Here is a 17,473-nt window from a genome sequence, read left to right on the forward strand (position 1 = left end):
AGAGCAGGTGCAGAGTTCCACTTCAGAGTCGTGCAGCTTTAGGCGCTAGACATGCAGCTTCAGTAAGCAGAGTTCAGGTTTAGCATCCACTCTGACCTCTTTTAAGAAAATTTATGAAATCTCAAGTAACTAACACACTGAAGGACTTTGTTTAGTAAACAAGGCGCAGCATCAGATTGTGTCCACCTAGAAAGATGATTTGATACTCGATGACTAATTACTGGACTCCTAGGATCTCCCTGTCAAAGGCCATAATTGGCACAGAAATGGGAGATAAGATTGGACAGGCAGGTGTTAAGTGGTCCCAGCTGCCAGTGGTAGAAGCCAAGTAGATCATTATTCCACAAACATTTACAATTGGCTTTCCATTGCCAAAAATTAACAATAATAAAATATCTACACCATTGCCTTGGGGATTTCTACTAGTCTCACTTCACAAACCTACTATTGTTATCCTACCTGATCTCCATTATGGAGCATACATCTCAGAGCTGCTTCATATTCTCTGCCCTCTGGCTCTCTAAGCCTCATGTTTTTGGACTGTTTCTTGCTAACCTAGATCAACTGACTTGGAAGTTGGATCACACTTCATCTTTGCACCAGTTCTTTTTAAACTGACCTCTCACATTTTGGCCCCAACTCTCAAGGCCTCAAATTTGGACCGGAGACCCAAACTCTAACTCCCCCTAGGGAACAGGTAAAAAAAAAAGTGTCCAGAAAAGGGCACCAAATTTAGAGGCAGAAAAATTTGATTTGAGTCTAAGCTGTGCCACTAACAAGCAATATAGCTTTGGATAATAACAGCTAACATGGACTGAGCTGTTAATAATTAAATAACATTTAATCCTCACAAAACTCTGAGGTAAATTATATTATTATCTCCAGTTTACAGTTGAGGAGACTGAGACACAGAGAGGCTAAATATGTCGCCTAAGGTAACGAGGCTAGGATGCAGCAGGATTATTACTTAATGTCAGGCAGTTCAGGCTACCAAACAATAGCAACATGTCTTTATGTCCCTTAATTTCTTTCAGAGATGGAAATGCTTATAAAGCCAGCCTTCTGGGGTGAGGGGTTGTGAGCCTAGAACCCCACAGAGTGTTAAAAGTGAAAATGGGATATGGTCTCTGTGCGTCATATATACATAGAGCATTTCTCTTTATTATTGTTTTCTCTTTATCAGTTTTAACTTTTTCAGTATTTTTACTACCCAGAAATCATGGTTTTGTTATTCTTCCTTTTTCTACCTTTAAAGAAATAGTTTCTTTGTAATAAAAAATTATATATCTTCCTCCCTAATCACTTGCTTTGGCACATTTAGAGACAGAATTTTACTGTGTCTGATCTTCCCTACATCTTCTGCTGAGGGAATATTCTTTCCTGATTCATAATTTTATGATCATTCAAAAGAGCAATCTGTTATAACAGGACATCTCATACCACAGCTCTGCTTTAAACCATTATTTAATTTTTCCAGGCTTCTAAAACTTTCACTTAATGTCTTTAGCCTTATGCTAATAGTTGTTCTTATTGTATAAATTGCCACCCTCTGTTGACATTTTTCTGGCTGTACACTCCTGCTTTCCAGCATTAGACCTTTAAATACAACCTTTGCTGCTTCATCCTCTTCATTTCATTCTTCTCATTGATGGATTTTGTTTTGTTTTGTTTTTGCAGCCCTTTTCACTTTAATGGATCATTTCCCTCCCACTAGTTTGGAAAAGTAGACCAGTAGAATTCAAAATTACTACTGTAGAGAGATTCCCTAAAGGAACAACTCCTGTTGAGATGAGATTTATACAATTTGACAGTTCTCAAAATTGCAAAATAGCCAGTAGCAACCAATGGACCCCAAAATGGACTGAGCATATTCGTGGGAAGAGAGGAGAGAGGAGCATAAGAGAGGGCAGATCCAAACAGCTTACAAGGATCAGTGTTCTGAGGGAAATGGCAAGTTCAGGGATACAAACGGGGCTAACAGTCTTATAAATTTGAATCACTATTAGCAGGGGCCAGAAAGATGCCCGAAGACAGAATCACCTATTCTAATGGTTAGGCTCACATTGCACCATAAAAGAATTAGCCTTAGGTTAATGTTCTTAACACTCTTTCCTGAATGAATACACCAAATATTCTTACTATTCTAACCTCTACTTTATGTTTTTAATATTACAATATTCTTCCCTTTCTGGAATAAACTCTTTTAACTTTTTGCATTTTCACATGAATTCTGGAATCAAACTGTCAACGTTTACCCAATTCTGGCAGAACTAATAACATTGATTCATAATGTTTTATGTTCTTCAGCAGATAATCACGCACAGCATTTATTCATGGCATGTCTCAACCAAAACTTTTTCTTATATACAACCAAGTATCCATTCAGCTTCTTTCTCTGTGTTCATCGCTCACAGAGCACCTGTTCACAAGTCCCTCCCTGATGTTTCTTGGGCCCTAATCTTCCCATTTGTTTCCTTTTTTCTTTTTTTTTTTTTTTGAGACAAAGTCTCATTCTGTCATCAGGCTGGAGTGCTGTGGGACGATCTCGGCTCACTGCAAAATCCGACTCCCTGGTTCAAGCAATTCTCCTGCCTCAGCCTCCCAAGTAGCTGGGATTACAGGCATGCGCTACCACACCCAGCTAATTTTTGTATTTTTAGTAGAGACAGGGTTTCACCACGTTGGCCAGGATGGTCTTCATCACCTGACCTTAAGATCCACCCATCTCAGCCTCCCAAAGTGCTGGGATTACAGGTGTGAGCCACCGCGCCCAGACCCCCATTTGTTTCTAAAACCAGATTTGTAGAGAAGTAAGGCAATAGGTGTTTGATGATGATATCGTCCTCTAGCATCTAATCCTCTCCCCTTCTTTCCCTTTAATAAACATTTTTGGTTAAACTCCTGGCTTCATTTTGCAGGTTATTTCACCTTTTCCCCATGTCAATGAAACAGCTGCCAAAAGATTGTTTAGACAAACCTCAAAAGTCTTTCTGAACTCAGAAATAAGAACCTCAGAGCCAGAATCATTTCCCCTCTTCAACAACATGATTGTGCTCCTCATTTCTTGAGCTAAAATGCCTGCTCTTAATTCACTTTTATCCTTAGCCTTTGACTGAAATTTCAGCATAAGTCAGCATTCTTTCTCCAAGGGAGGGAGAGGGAAACATTGGCTTTGGAGTCAGAACAACTTGGATTCAAATCCAGCTTTGATATTTAGTAGCTCTGCTTAGTGCAAATAGTTTGATGAGAGGATTTCATGAAATCATATATTTCAAGCTTCTAACACAGTGCCTGCTGCTTAGGAGTTTCTTGTCAACTGCTACCTTTTCCTGTATTTCACTCCAGTGCTCTTTCTTAAAAACATTTATAGAAACTATAATCTCTGTCTTTTTGTGCACTTTCAACTGTCTATCTTTATTCTTATCCCCATCATCATTCCCTACTGACACACTATAAAATGTTACTATAGAATGTTTTATTAGTGCTTAACGATCTTTCTCACATACCCTTAGTTCTAACTTTATGTGCTTTTATCATTTGTTAATAAATATTTGGGTTTTTAACCTTTGTTATTATCTCTGTTCATAATTTGTTCCTCTTTTTTGGCAGTTGGATATCTTTGTTGACTCTTATGTTTGAAGCATTGGATTCACTTCCCCCAGTGTCCTTAGGACAGCCAATGTCGTCTGGACACTGCAGCCCTGCTTGTCAGTCACCTGAACTGACGTTCACTGCCCCTACTGGACTTCTCACTCCCACAGGTACCTCTGCATGTGCTCGTCACCTCCACCATGCTGCAGTGTCTCTAGCTCCTGCACCTCACCTACTGAAGCCACGGAGAGGCAAGAGTCACATTCTATTTGAAGCTACTTTGGGAGAATGTGTCTCCTCCCCTTTACTGAAACAACTCATCTGATGCAACCCACTCCATCCTTCATTGGACATTTATATCATAAACAGTTTTTAGTGAAAACAGCTCTTTCCTTTTTTATTCTGCATCCAGGAACATATCTCTGAAACAAGTATCAAGACAAACATAAAAGAACCCCATCCCTCTGATGACTGAGGCCGTTGTTGGGTTACCTCATCTGGCTGACTTTTTCTTCCCTTAGGATGTGCTAGTTCCAAAAAGAATCCTAAATTTATCTTACAAACAAGCACCTGGAAAGCAAATTCCACCAGATTCCCAGTGAGGCTCAGATACGTCTAAATTAGCTACGACTAAGAATGAGCTTCAGCTAGAACTCCATAACACTGTCAAAGGTACCAAAAAAAAACTATCTTTCTATATTATATTTATACACACTGAGTCTAGGAATGTGGCTTTATGTTTTTTTCTTCATAATATACAATTGGAATCCCCTCCCAGTCTATTCTTCTGATAATATATGGGGAAGATGACTTGACTTTGAATAAATTTTTTCTTTCACATTTTATTTAGGGTCATACACATGTACTTAACTGATCTTATGTCTTCACCAAAATATAAATCTTCCAAACATGATTGCATTTTTCAGACATTCATACTGTGGTTTGAATACAGAAAATTCTTACCCTTTAAGACGTTTCTCCCTTACTGACCAGGAAAAATTGCCACAAATCCAGGTCTTTCATGCACAGCACATTTCCCTTTTGGTATTCAGTCTTGTTCCTCGCACCAAGTCACACACTGATGTCTCTGGTCTCAAATCCTCAAGGTCTCTTAAAGCTCTCTGTGCTCTACAGCCCAGAATTACAGCATGTTCAGATCAGAGGGGACTATACTAATCAGGAAATTCAAACACTTCAGAATGCACATGAGGAAATTGAGACAAAAAGCTTAAGAGACTTACCCAAGTCCACACAGGTGGAAATACCTTCATCAGCACCATTTTATTTTATTTATTTATTCACTGATTCTCAGAAGTGCTATCATATTCTTAAATAATTTGTTGCTATCATAGAAGAGTACTCTTTTTGTTTTTTTTTCAAAATTTTGTTCGCTAGAGTACCCTCCCCTTACTATAATTTGGTAGTTTGTTTTTTGCTCCAGATGTGGTTAAAGCAAGCACTTTTATAAGGCAAATCTGGTAACTGACATCAAAGCATTACAAAGCCAAACATTAAGGAGCCTTAAGGAACCTTGAGGGAAGACACAAATATTTCTCCCACTTGGCTCCACCCTATCTGGCTAGAATTCTAAGGCAGTGATACAAGAAGTGAGTCTTCTCATCTTTCTATTAGGATGAGACTAGGAATCCAGGTTGATGTATAAGAGATGTAAAATGTTTCTCATCCTTCACCACTAAGAAATACCACTGAAATCCACAATCTCTTCCAATTTTCCAGTTCTTTCACTACACAAATGAAACAAAGCAGTAAGAGTTCCACTAAAAACTATTTAGAGTTATCCATATTACCATTTTCTTCCTTTATACACATAGTTGTAGACTTATTTATATGAAGACTTGATTTTCATAATAATACTTTTCATTTGTAAAAACCGTTTGTTAAATAAATTTATTAAATTGAAAGTCACACTCTTTATTATCATTTAATACATAGTTGGGAACTTGAGAAAAGCATGATCATGGTATTAAAGTAAGATGAGGACAGAGACCCCAAATCTTGTCCTTGTTTCATTAAAACCAACTATTTCTATTTAGTTGACACGTGATTAAACAAAAACAAGGACAGAGATCTCAAAATCACACCTTAATTATTTGTTTCATTAGAACCAATTATTTCTATTTATTTGTTTATCCCAAGTTTATTTATTGTCAATCAACCTATGTTATTCAAGGACTATGTGAAAATTCATGCTGATAAAAGACATGCATTCACAGTTTTCAAATCAAGGACTTTGCTGGGTTTCTGAATCAAGAATTACTGCATGGCAATTCTGACTTGATATAGTTAGCACATCATTGTTATATATTCACCCAAGCATCACCTACTTCACTGTTAGCTAAAAGAGAACAGAAAAAAATTAACATATTCAGAGCATGCCATAAAATAAAGACAGGATCATCCTTTCTTCTGCTCTAACACTGAAGAAAAACTACCAAGAGTGACGGAAAGAACAGTGCCACGCATGCCATCACTAAGCTAGAAAGTTGTTCAAAGCCAAATCCCAGATGCGGACTAAATAAGCTCAACTTTTTAGTTGATTCTAACAGTATGAGGAAGGAAGTAAATATTTGTATTCATCCAGTGACACTGAGTTCTGATTTTAGCAAATCATACATTTACCGTTCCTGCCATTGAATCATGGGTCTCCAGAACAAAGTATGGAATCATTATAAAGAGTCTTTTAAATCATTTAAAAATCAAGGACTTCAACTTTATCCAAGTGAGCACAGTACTCCTGATTATTTATTCTGAGAGTTGAACTTCTTTGGAAAATAGGTTATATGAGGTAATACACACACAGCAAAGTTCACTTAAAAACGCAGCAGGTGTAAGTCTAGTTAAAAAATGCAGCTTTTTAAAAATCAAACACTTAAACATCTTCAAAAATCTAGACATTATTTAATATAAGCAAAAACAAGCAAATGCTTAACTCATATTAGGTAGCCTGTAGATTGGAAGATGGCATAACATAATGGAATGAGCTGCAAGTTCAGCATTTATAAACTATCTCCATAGTAATTAATTTTGTCACTGTGAGCAATTCAAATAATCTTATAAATTGGTAGAGAACCCTGAAATTCAGCAGTATTAAAAAAAAAAACAATAGCTTGATTGAATCTAGCTGACAAGTGGAATCAATGAAAATAGTTACAAGATAATTTAAGAAATTGTGGCAGATATAGTAACCCAGAATCCAGAAGATGGAAGCACAGGGGTAAACAAGCAATAAACCTCTAAGTAATGAGTTAGAAAGCAGAAGAAGAGAGGTTCTCTGAATTCCTTTGAGCTTTGCTATTTGTCATGTGGTTCATGACAAATGGACATCATATGCTGTAGGCCCAGATGGTTTCACTAGTAAAATCTATCAAACACTTAAGGAAGAAATAATACCAATTCTGCATGTTGTCAAGGACAGACAGAAAATAAAGAAAAATGTAGGACATTCCAAGTAATTTGAAGAGGCAACATCACCCTGACCAAAATCAGGCAAAGACAAAGAAATTACAAGAAAACTACTGACCACTATGCATTGTAATCATGAACAAACATACAAAAAGAACTCAACAAAATATTAGCAAATCAAATTCAGCAACATATAAAAATAATAATCCATCATGACTGGAGTAATAAGACGTAATGACCCATATAAACATCATGGAGTTTAAATGGGGAAAGCAAGGTTGGTTCAATATTTTGAAAATATATCAATGTCATTATCACATGAACAGACTAAAAAATGATCTCAACAGAGGCAGAAAAATTATTTTTACAAAATACAGCATTTATTCGTGATTAAAACTCTACGAAAATTAGGCATAAAAGAGTACGTTTTGAACTTGATAAAGGGCATCTGCATAAAACCTGAGCTGAAGTCAGACTTAATGGGAAAAGTTAAATCTTTCTCCTTAAGATTAAAAACAAGGCAAAAATGTCCTCTCCTCCCATCCGTAACCAATATCATACTATAGGTCCTAGCTAGAATAATAGACCAAACAAAAGAATAAAAGGAATATATTATAAAAATAAATAAAATTTTCTCCATTCTTAGAAAACATGATTATCTATGTAGAATTTCACAAAGTTTACCCAAAAAAGCTACTAGATGTAAGAAGTCTATTTAGCAAGACTGTAGGATACAAGATCAATATAAAAATAAAAACTATGTATCTACATGCTAGCAATGAACCATTTGAAATTATAATTTTAAAAGTTCCATTTACAATAGCAATATAAAATATAAAATACTTAGATATAAATATAACATACAAAATTTGTAAGCTAAAAACTATAAAAGTTTAATGAAAGGGCAAAATTGAAAGACTTATGCATACTACCTGATTTTAAGATTTATTATAAAGCTACAATAATAGTAACAATGTGGTCTTTGCAAATAAATAGACACATAGATCAATTAATTAGAACAGAGGGTCCAGAAACAGGCCCACCCAAATGTCAGCCGATTTTTTGTAATGTCCCAAGAAATTCAGTGGAAAGATGGTAACCTTATTGAAAAGTTGTGCTGGACCTAAATGTAAACCCTAGAAGAAAACATTGGAGAAAATCTTTGCAATCTTGTGTTTCACAAAATTTTTTTAGAAGACTGAAAATACAAATTATAGAAGAAAATTAATAAATTGGACTTCTTCAAATTTGAAAGCTTCTACTATTCTAAATATAACTATAAGAAAATTAAGAAACAAACCACAGACTGCAAAAATATTTGCAAAACACATTTCTGAGAAGGACAGGTATCCAGAATATTTTTTTAACTCTCACGACTCAGTAGTAAGAAAACTTATAATTCAGTAAAGAATATTTTAACAGATACTTCAACAAAGAAGATACAGAGGTATAAGATAAGCACGTAGGCAATCCACATACTAATAATTTTAAAATTGCAAATTACAATCACAATAGGACACCAATATACAACTATTATCATGGCTAATTTAAAAAAAAAAAGTAGCAGGTACCGTCAAGAATGAAGAGAAATTGGGACTCTTATACTTTGCTGGTATGAATGCAAAAATGATACAACCACTTTGAAAAGCAGTTTGATAATTTCTTATAAAATTAAACACACACATACCATGTGACCAGAAATACCACTCCTAAGCACTTACCCAAGGGAAGTGCAGACATATGTCCTTGAAGTCAATAAAAAATGTGTATACAAATAATATTTTGTTTATAATTGCTAAAACAATTTTGCTGGAAACAACCCAAATAACCATCAACTGGTGAATAAACTGTAGTATGTTCATGTAATGAAATACTACTCGCTAATAAATAGAACAAACTACTGATACATGCAACAACATGGATAAATCTCAAATGCAACATGCAGAGTCAAAGAAAACTGACTCAAAAGGACACATACTATATGATTCCATTCCTATGACATTCTGAAAAAGGCAAAACCATCGCAACTGAAAACAAATCAGTAGATGCCAAAACACAAGGTAGGGGTGAGAAGGGGTGACTACAAATGAGCTTGAGAGAATTTTCAGGAGTGATTGAAATATTCTATGTCTTGATGGTGGTAGTGGCTACATGACTCATGGTTAGACCAGAACATCTTCTTATGCCAGAAAGGAAGTATCAATCAATTACAAAGATCCATCAGAAGGACTCAGAAGCCAGCTTCAAGAGGTTTCCATTGGTCAAATCTGGAACATTCTGAGTATTGCAATTAATTAGATCATAGCCCATTGATTATAATAGGAATCTAAAGCTCATACCGAAGAAAGGAGAAGAAAGTGGGAAAAAAAGAGAGAATGCTCTACTTTCTATCAAATTCCATCTAATAATTATAGAAGGAATGGTAGAATTTAAAAAAATCACCATTTGGCAACCATCTTATAATAACTAATTCAGACTAAAATCAACATCTAAAACATGTGAAAACTTTAGTCACTAAAATATATCACATAAAACAGGGACCCCAACACAGTGTCCCCATTCTGTTAGGAACCAGGCTGCACAGGAGGTGAGCAGAAGGTGAGTGAGTACTACCACCTGAGCTCTGCCTCCTGTCAGATCAGCGATGATATTAGATTCTCATAGGAGCTCAAACTCTATTGTGAACTGCGCATGCGAGGGATCTAGATTGCATGCTCCTTATGAGAATCTAACTAATGCCTCATGATCCAAGGTGGAACAGTTTCATCCTGAAACCATCCCCTCTCTACATCCATGGAAAAATTGTCTTCCACAAAACCAGTCCCTGGTGCCAAAAATGTTGGGGACCGCTGATCTAAAAGACTACTACTGGGTGAAAGTTTTATAAGAAACAAAATATTTAATCAGGCTCAAAGTATCACCCACAAAACTCATATTAATTATTTTTAATAAGTACAAAAAAATTGGTTAATGAACTATAGAGTAGAAAAACCAAGTTGACACTAAGTTAACATGACTAGCAATGACACAAATGGAAATAATGCGTTTCCTAGTACAACACACTGTGAAGAAAACAGCATCCCTTCTGTAATATATCTGCCAAAAATTTATATTCTGAATCATAGCATGAGGAAACATTAGACAAAGCCAAACTGAAGGGCATTTTACAAAATAATTGACTTGTACAGTTTTAAAATATCTACATGAAGAAGCAAAGAAAGGCTGAAGAGTCACTACAGATTGAAGGACAATGAAGATACATGGCTATCGAATGAAACTCTTGATCCTGGTTTCTGGACCAAAAGGGAAAGAGAGGAAAATAAAAGTTTTGTTTTTGTTTTTTCCCTGTATGTTTTTTTTTCTCCTTCTTCTTCTCCTTTTTGTCTGTTTCTACAAAGGACATTATTGGAACAAATACTGAAATTTTCATGGGGTTTGTGAGTTATATGTTAATATTGTATCAATGTTAATTTTCTGATTTTGAGATACATACATTATGGATGAATAGGAAGTACACACTGCTTTATTTAGGAGTAACAGGGCATCACACATGCAACGTATTTGCAAATGGAAATTAACAATAAACATTAGAAATGGAAGATACATGGTAAATAGGTAAAAAGAAAAAGCAAATGTGCTAAATATGTTAATAGTTGCAGAATTAGGATGAAGGTTGAACAAGATTTCTGTGTACTGTCCTTGCAACTTTTCTGTAAGTTTGAAAGTATTTCAAAATAAAAGGTTTATAAGGCAACAGTATTATATTCCCCCTCTCTTCCTTTTTTTTAATGTCTCGAATTCCACAGAAATATAAATGACCAGTTAGAAGTATTCATTACTGTATTCTTCCTTTATATTTTCCTATAGTTTTTCAAATTTTAAATGGGTTAAACATTGCAATGTTAGGCAAAAAAAAATCATTTTTATGAAAGCCATGAAGATTGTACAATCATGTTTTTTCATTTATGTGATCATTACAGTCTCTTTAGCTTGGTCACAGTTCAGAGTTGTAAATACATACGGCCTTGTGACTCTCTCATAAAATCTATTTAGTAAGGTTTTCCTTGAATAAAATGTACTCTGAAGAAAGTATTTTGACCTGACACCATAGAGCACTGGAATAAAAAATACTTTTCTGGTGAAATATTTCAAAACCCACAGTCATTTAGTGATAGATATGTGTATACTTGAACTAAAAGTATGAGCCTAGTTTGTATGAGGTTTGTGGGTATATAATTACTAGTATTAAATTATGTGTTCCATGTTGACTTACCATCATATTTATTATTGCTGTTAAAAATGCTGACTGCAATAGGTGACATGGTCTTCTTATAATACATAGCCTTTATCTAAAATAAAGCACTCTTATTTTCTCTTTCCATGACCTTTGTGAAAGAGGTCTAATAAACTTTATAGACTTTTCAGTTGTGGATACATGTTGAGAAGGAAACCTCAGTACTGATTTCTTCTAAAATGAACATAGAGACAGAAGGTTGCAATGTGATTTTAAATCCACAGAAACTAATTAAAGAGGAACAAATATTGGTCTAGCTATAAAATTCAAAGTGTTGCTTTATTCTGAATTACTGGACATACCCACAACTGGTACAATAAATGACAAAAAATAGAAGAAATTGAGAAAGTTAAGTTGTTTTTTAACTTTTGTTGTTTTGCATTTTCCTTTGTTGTTGTTTAGTTTACCAGATCCATTCAAGTGTGAAACTTCTCACACGATAGGCAATAAATATAAAATATCAATGTTCACAATGTAGAAAGAGATGAGCTATGCTTGTAGATGCCCTCCTTTATACTCAGTCACAGACTGTCAGGCAAATGGTGTGTACAATCTTAGAGAGAGAGAGGGAGTTGCAGATCACACTGAGCATTTTCCAATGCCAGTCAGACCTGCAGCAGGCCATCGTCCCCCCACAACCACCACATTGTCACCTCTACAAAGGCCGTGATGTGCCTTTTAAAGAACAAGATAGACATTGGGTAGTTTTGGGGGAAATTATTTCAACATATATTCTAATTTTGCTTTTGTTCCCTAAGTAAACCTATGAATAAGTGAGGCTATGTCACTTACCTTCCTTTGCTCTTCAGTCCACAAGAGTAAAAAAAAATTTGAAAGGCAACGTGTACTTGAGAAGGCATCAACAATCAGACCAACAGGCAGAACAATCCCTAGTGAGTTTGTAGAAAGAGGAATTATACATTTCCACAATAAGATTAAAACCTTTCAGTCAACAGAATGTTGCTCAAAGGCCAGCAAGCACAATCTTTTTTATTTCCAGTCTAGCCTGAAGCAGGCCTCTGTGAGTACCTAGGCTGTATTTCATGAAGGAGCCCTTGCCATCCATTACAAACTGAGTTTTCATTCATTTGGAAAATATGTCAACTTTCTAACTGCAAATCAAAAGAAAAGGCATAGTCATAACAGAGAGGGGGGATATGTGTCTTACTTAAAATTTTTAAAAAATTAAAAGCAATGCCTCATCTCCCAGGACCCTGTCAGACCAATCAATGTTACTGGGCAATAATCAGCCTCAATGCACACAGTTTTAAATAAAATCTTGCTCTAAGAATGAGTTTTCAGAGTACTGCCTATTCCATGAACTGATGCATTCAAAGACCACATGCTCTATTTAAAAACACAATCCAAACTCCTACTACCATTTCCAATTTCACTGTATACAGAGATAATGTGCACTGGAGTAAAGGGACAGAATGACAAATTCTAGTTTTTAGCAAAATAAGTAAAACAATAATTAATTTTTATCATCTGGTTTCAGTTTCCTGATAGCACAAGTAACTGCCTGTATTTTAACCATCTAACACAACTTTCTGTACCAAAATTTTAAAAAGTTCCATATCCTGAGTTTTATTTCTCTGTGCCGTGATAAACTATGTAGTCCTTAAAACCTAGATGGCACTGCTGTGAACTGATCCAAGCCAATTTGGTTTTGTACAACTCTTTGTTGTAAAAACTGGAAGTCAGCAAAGGCACTGATGGTTAGCTATTCCCCACAACTTAATTGGTTCTAACTGAAACAAGTTTCAAACCCGATTTTACCCGATATATGGGCATTGGTTTAATAAACAGGCACAAGAGTTCCTTCACAAACTCAGTGAAGTCTCAGCTCTGTCCTTTCCAATGTCCTTGCATGAAAAGTTAATGCAGCCAATTCTGGCTGATTTACATGGCCCAGTGCAAAACAAAAACATGGGGCTCCTTGTTTCAAATTATTAAGAATTTCAAGAATGCAACAACAAAGCATTAAACCAAGCACAGATCCCTTGATTAAAAAGGATCCCTTTAAACCAAAGACACCTTGGTTCATATGGGCATATGAAGCCAGCCCTCCTCTCAGCAGAGACATGAGAATACAAAGGCCAGATTCTGTTCCCTTATAGTCAGAATCAGAGTCAGGCAACAACAACTTGCCTAAATCAGTGACTGGAGAAAGAACTGAAATCCAGCCTGAGGTTCCATCCCTCACTGTAAAAACTTCCAGTATCACTAGATTATTATATCCTATTAGGACAAGTATGAGAAATATTTCTAAAACATTTTAGCCAATCCATATATACTAATTACCTTTAATGTTATCACTGACAATCTACTTCTAAGATTCATCTTGTTGTTATCAAGCCACTATGTACAAGGAAAACCCCATTTCTGATATTTAATATGCTCATTAGCAAAGTCAAAGTCAGATATTCATACAAATTACTGAAGCACTTAAAATACCCACCGCTGGGTAATAGAATTCTCACTTAAAATATAGAAAATAATCCCCAAACAGAGCCTTCCTGATTAGGGCATCAGACTGTCTTTAGAGCGAGGCTTAACCTAACTGGTACATACACAGTCACTCTGTCTAGAAGCCTGCATACATCACAGCCATCACGAAAAACAATGACTTCCAAAGCACATGGGCTGCAAAGAAAAGCAGATACTAGAAGGCCTTTAACTCAAACTGACAATTCCCAAACAGGTAAGTGTTTCTGTCTTTTCCAGTCCTATCAGAATAAAGTTTGGCATATCTGTCAAAACATCACACCAGCTGTTAGGATGCAGTTGTGGGAAGAGGAAGAAAGTACCAAGGAAAGAATGGGAGGGAAGATTCTTTTTAAGCTTATTTTCTGATTGGATTAAACATACCCTCTTACCTTCAAAAAATTTATAGAAGATGAATGAAACTTCTTGTCATTTTAGAGTTAATATTCAACATTTAATTTAATCGAGAGTGCTTTGTTTCTAACTATTAGTAGTCACAGGAAAGACAAATGTGAATATGTAACCTGTCTGAAATCTCACCTCTAGTCAAGAGCTGCCAAATAACAGTGATAATTCAGAGGAAAGGGACAGGGGGAAAGGAGATGGAGGAAGGAAATAGAAGAGGGAATAGGTAAAGAAGTTCTAGGAAAAGGGATAAAGGAGAAAAAGGGGAAGGAAAGAGAGGAAGGAGAAGAGAATAGCTAAGAGTGGGAGATGTTCTTTAAGAACTCAGAAAAAAAATTAAAATTTCTTAAATTGAGAAGCAAGCATAACATTAGCTATTAAATTAAGACTAGAATAAGAGAAACATATAGTCAATAAAACTTCAGCGAATAATCTTGCTCCTCTTTGAAATGTCCTTCATTAAAGAAAACTTTCCCATTCTTCCCCCTATTTCTATCTCTGCCCCAATTTGTGTTTGAATCTGACAGATTTGGGAATCTGACATTGGGCTATCACTGTAAGTATAACCTACTCACATTTTTTAACTCCAAAAGCTATTGTTGCTAGAATCCCTAAAGGTAGCTTTCCTGTGGGCCCTAATACACATTCAAAATTAGAATAACCTGGCCAGGAGCAGTGACTCATGCCTGTAATCCCAGCACTTTCAGAGGCTGAGGTGGGCGGATCACAAAGTCAGGGGATTGAGACCATCCTGGCCAAAATGGTGAAACGCTGTCTCTACTAAAAATACAAAAATTAGCTGGGCGTGATAGTGTGTGCCTGTAATCCCAGCTACTCAGGAGGCTGAGGCAGGAGAATCACTTGAACCAGGGAGTCAGAGGTTACGGTGAGCCGAGATCGTGCCACTGCACTCCAGCCTGGCGACAGAGCAAGACTCCATCTCAAAAAAAAACAAAAACAAAAACAAAAACAAACAAAAAAAAGAATAACCTATGTCCTTTAAATTCTTTTTTTATTAATTTTAAAAATTTATATATGTTAATCACTGTTTTAATTGCTATACAATGTAAACATGCAATGAAACACCACAGTGTATCACATAAATTCTTGAGACGGTAATTTAGTTAATATTTTTCCATTTCAACTCACTGTTCTATACTCTGCTTTGTGCTGCTGGGATATGTGTCTGCAAACCACATTTCAACTTTGCTGGCTAATTCTCAGTTAGGCTTTGTTAACGGGAGCATTAGATGGAGGATTCAAGGTTGGAGCTATAGCAAAACATCACATTGTACTCCATAAATATATACAATTATTATTTGTCAATTCAAAATAAAATTTTTAAGAAGAGAGAAGAAACTGTTTCTTCCTGTTTGTGTGTTGTTCCTGCCAGCTTAACCCTGGCAATGACTGTTCACTCTGGCAGTAGCAGTTCATTCCAGAGGCATCAGTCAATTACACTTCTAGCTTTTCCCACATTTCCCACAGCAGCCCGCTCAGAAATGCCAGCAGCTGACAGCCAGAGGTTTGAGTCCCAGCTCCATAGCTTCTTCCCTTGATTCCCCAAGTTCTGGGAATAGTAGCTGCTTCTTGCAATTAACAACTCTGTGATACCTCAGTTTTCCTTTTTTGCCTTTTCAGTGCTCTAATACCTATTTAACACTTTTTATATTAATCTTCTGTTAGAATTACTAGTGTGGTTTTTATCTCCTCACCAGACCTTGACTTATACAGTTCCTTCTCATCAAAGAAAGCCAAGAACATTTTTGTATATGATAATCATTTTTGAAATTTAGCAATCTCTCTACCCCATAGAACCATTTATACCATGACAGACAGTGCTTACTCAGCTAGGACAAAGGCAGATATTTTAAATAGCTAGATTAAAATTAAACAAGAATGTAAAGTTTTAACATTAATACAGATAGAGAAATAAATGTAATTATGGTGAGAAAAATGATGGAGTGGCACCTACATTTGTGGTGTTTGTCCCTAGTTGATGAAACATGACATCGTTTTGTCCTAGGACTGAAGCAAGTTATTACCTGTGCATGAGGCTATATAACTTGCTTCTGATCTTCAGGACTTAACAGGTGTCAGCATAACCCTCCTCTGCAATGCTAGACCCAAAATTTAAAGAAAAATTTTCCCTGTTTTTCTCCTGCCTCCTCCTCTGTCTCCCATATATATGTCCCTCTGACCAGAGATTTCTTATAAGATTTGGCAATTAAACAAATCTTCCAGAAGCCCCAAGCCAAGAGCAAGAGGATAAAGAAAGTGAAAATTCTAAAGATTGAGATTTGAAACCTTAGCCTTGGAAAAAGGGGAGAAGTGGTTCACCCAGAACAAAAATAAAACCCCAGAGTCAGTCAGTTAGATTTACAGAGAGCTCTGGAAAGTGCAGGTTGAAGGACTGGCTCAAAAAAAAAAAATCAGACTGTTCACCCTTTACATCTTTGTGGGTCAAGTTTTTATACACATTTCTCTACTTAACCCTCATTACAACCTGCAGAAGCACTTACTGACCAATTTATGCATGATCACACAGCAAATAAACAGTAGCGCTCGATTAAAACTCAGGTCTGTCTAACTCCATAATCTCTGCTCTTGACACTATTCAATACTGCATTCTGTTGGGAGGAGATAAAGGCAATTACAAGGGATGATGTAGGAGTGGGACACTGATCATCAGCATGATGGAGAGAGGGGCTGCAGGGATAGACGGTAGGTAAACAGACAGACAGACAGATAGATAGTTACATCTTACTTACCTCTCTGTTCCTGATCTTAGACCAGCTTAAATGCACCTTCTGCTCCCCTCAATGGACAGCACAATAAAAGATCCAACCCAACATTTCCGGATGTAGGAAATATTGAATGTGTCAGTGCACCAAGGTTGGTGTCTTTTCATGATGCTCAAAACCAGGGAGCTCTAGCAGAAACTGAATTCTATTGTCACAGGCCTATTATAAATTTACAGAGTTAAGCTCTTACATAATATTCAATCATTCTTTCCGAAAAGTTCATAAAATATTTCACAGTTCTTTGGCATATGGATAAATCTTTCATAGCTGACAGAAACAGATAGAAATAAGCCACAAGACAAAAGGAAATAGACTACAATAAAATGGTCAATATTTCCCAGGTGCCATTTTAAGAGAAAGTGTGATGCAAGGAAACTCTAAGCTGTGAGAATTCTTTCTATACTTTTAAAATCACCCTTTTAAAATGCACATTTGGTCAGAAAGTCAAAATAGAACCATTTAAAATTAG

General features: G+C 36.0%; 1 long non-coding RNA gene across 3 annotated transcripts in view, besides 1 other annotated feature; it reads right to left on the reverse strand.

Annotated features, from left to right (window-relative positions):
• LOC102724210 (uncharacterized) overlaps positions 1-17,473 on the reverse strand; it is a 396,780-nt gene that overhangs the window by 71,440 nt on the left and 307,867 nt on the right. The window lies entirely within an intron of this gene.
• Positions 4,279-4,448: an enhancer, noted in NCBI's record as "experimental_73347 CRE fragment used in MPRA reporter constructs". NCBI's record gives its function as "activates a minimal promoter by MPRAs in K562 erythroleukemia cells, with activity observed for both the introgressed and non-introgressed 4:128070734 variant alleles {active_cell/tissue: K562}" and the evidence as "EXISTENCE:reporter gene assay evidence [ECO:0000049][PMID:34662402]".

Source organism: Homo sapiens, chromosome 4, assembly GCF_000001405.40.
Source record: "Homo sapiens chromosome 4, GRCh38.p14 Primary Assembly".
Taxonomy (NCBI): Eukaryota; Metazoa; Chordata; class Mammalia; order Primates; family Hominidae; genus Homo; species Homo sapiens.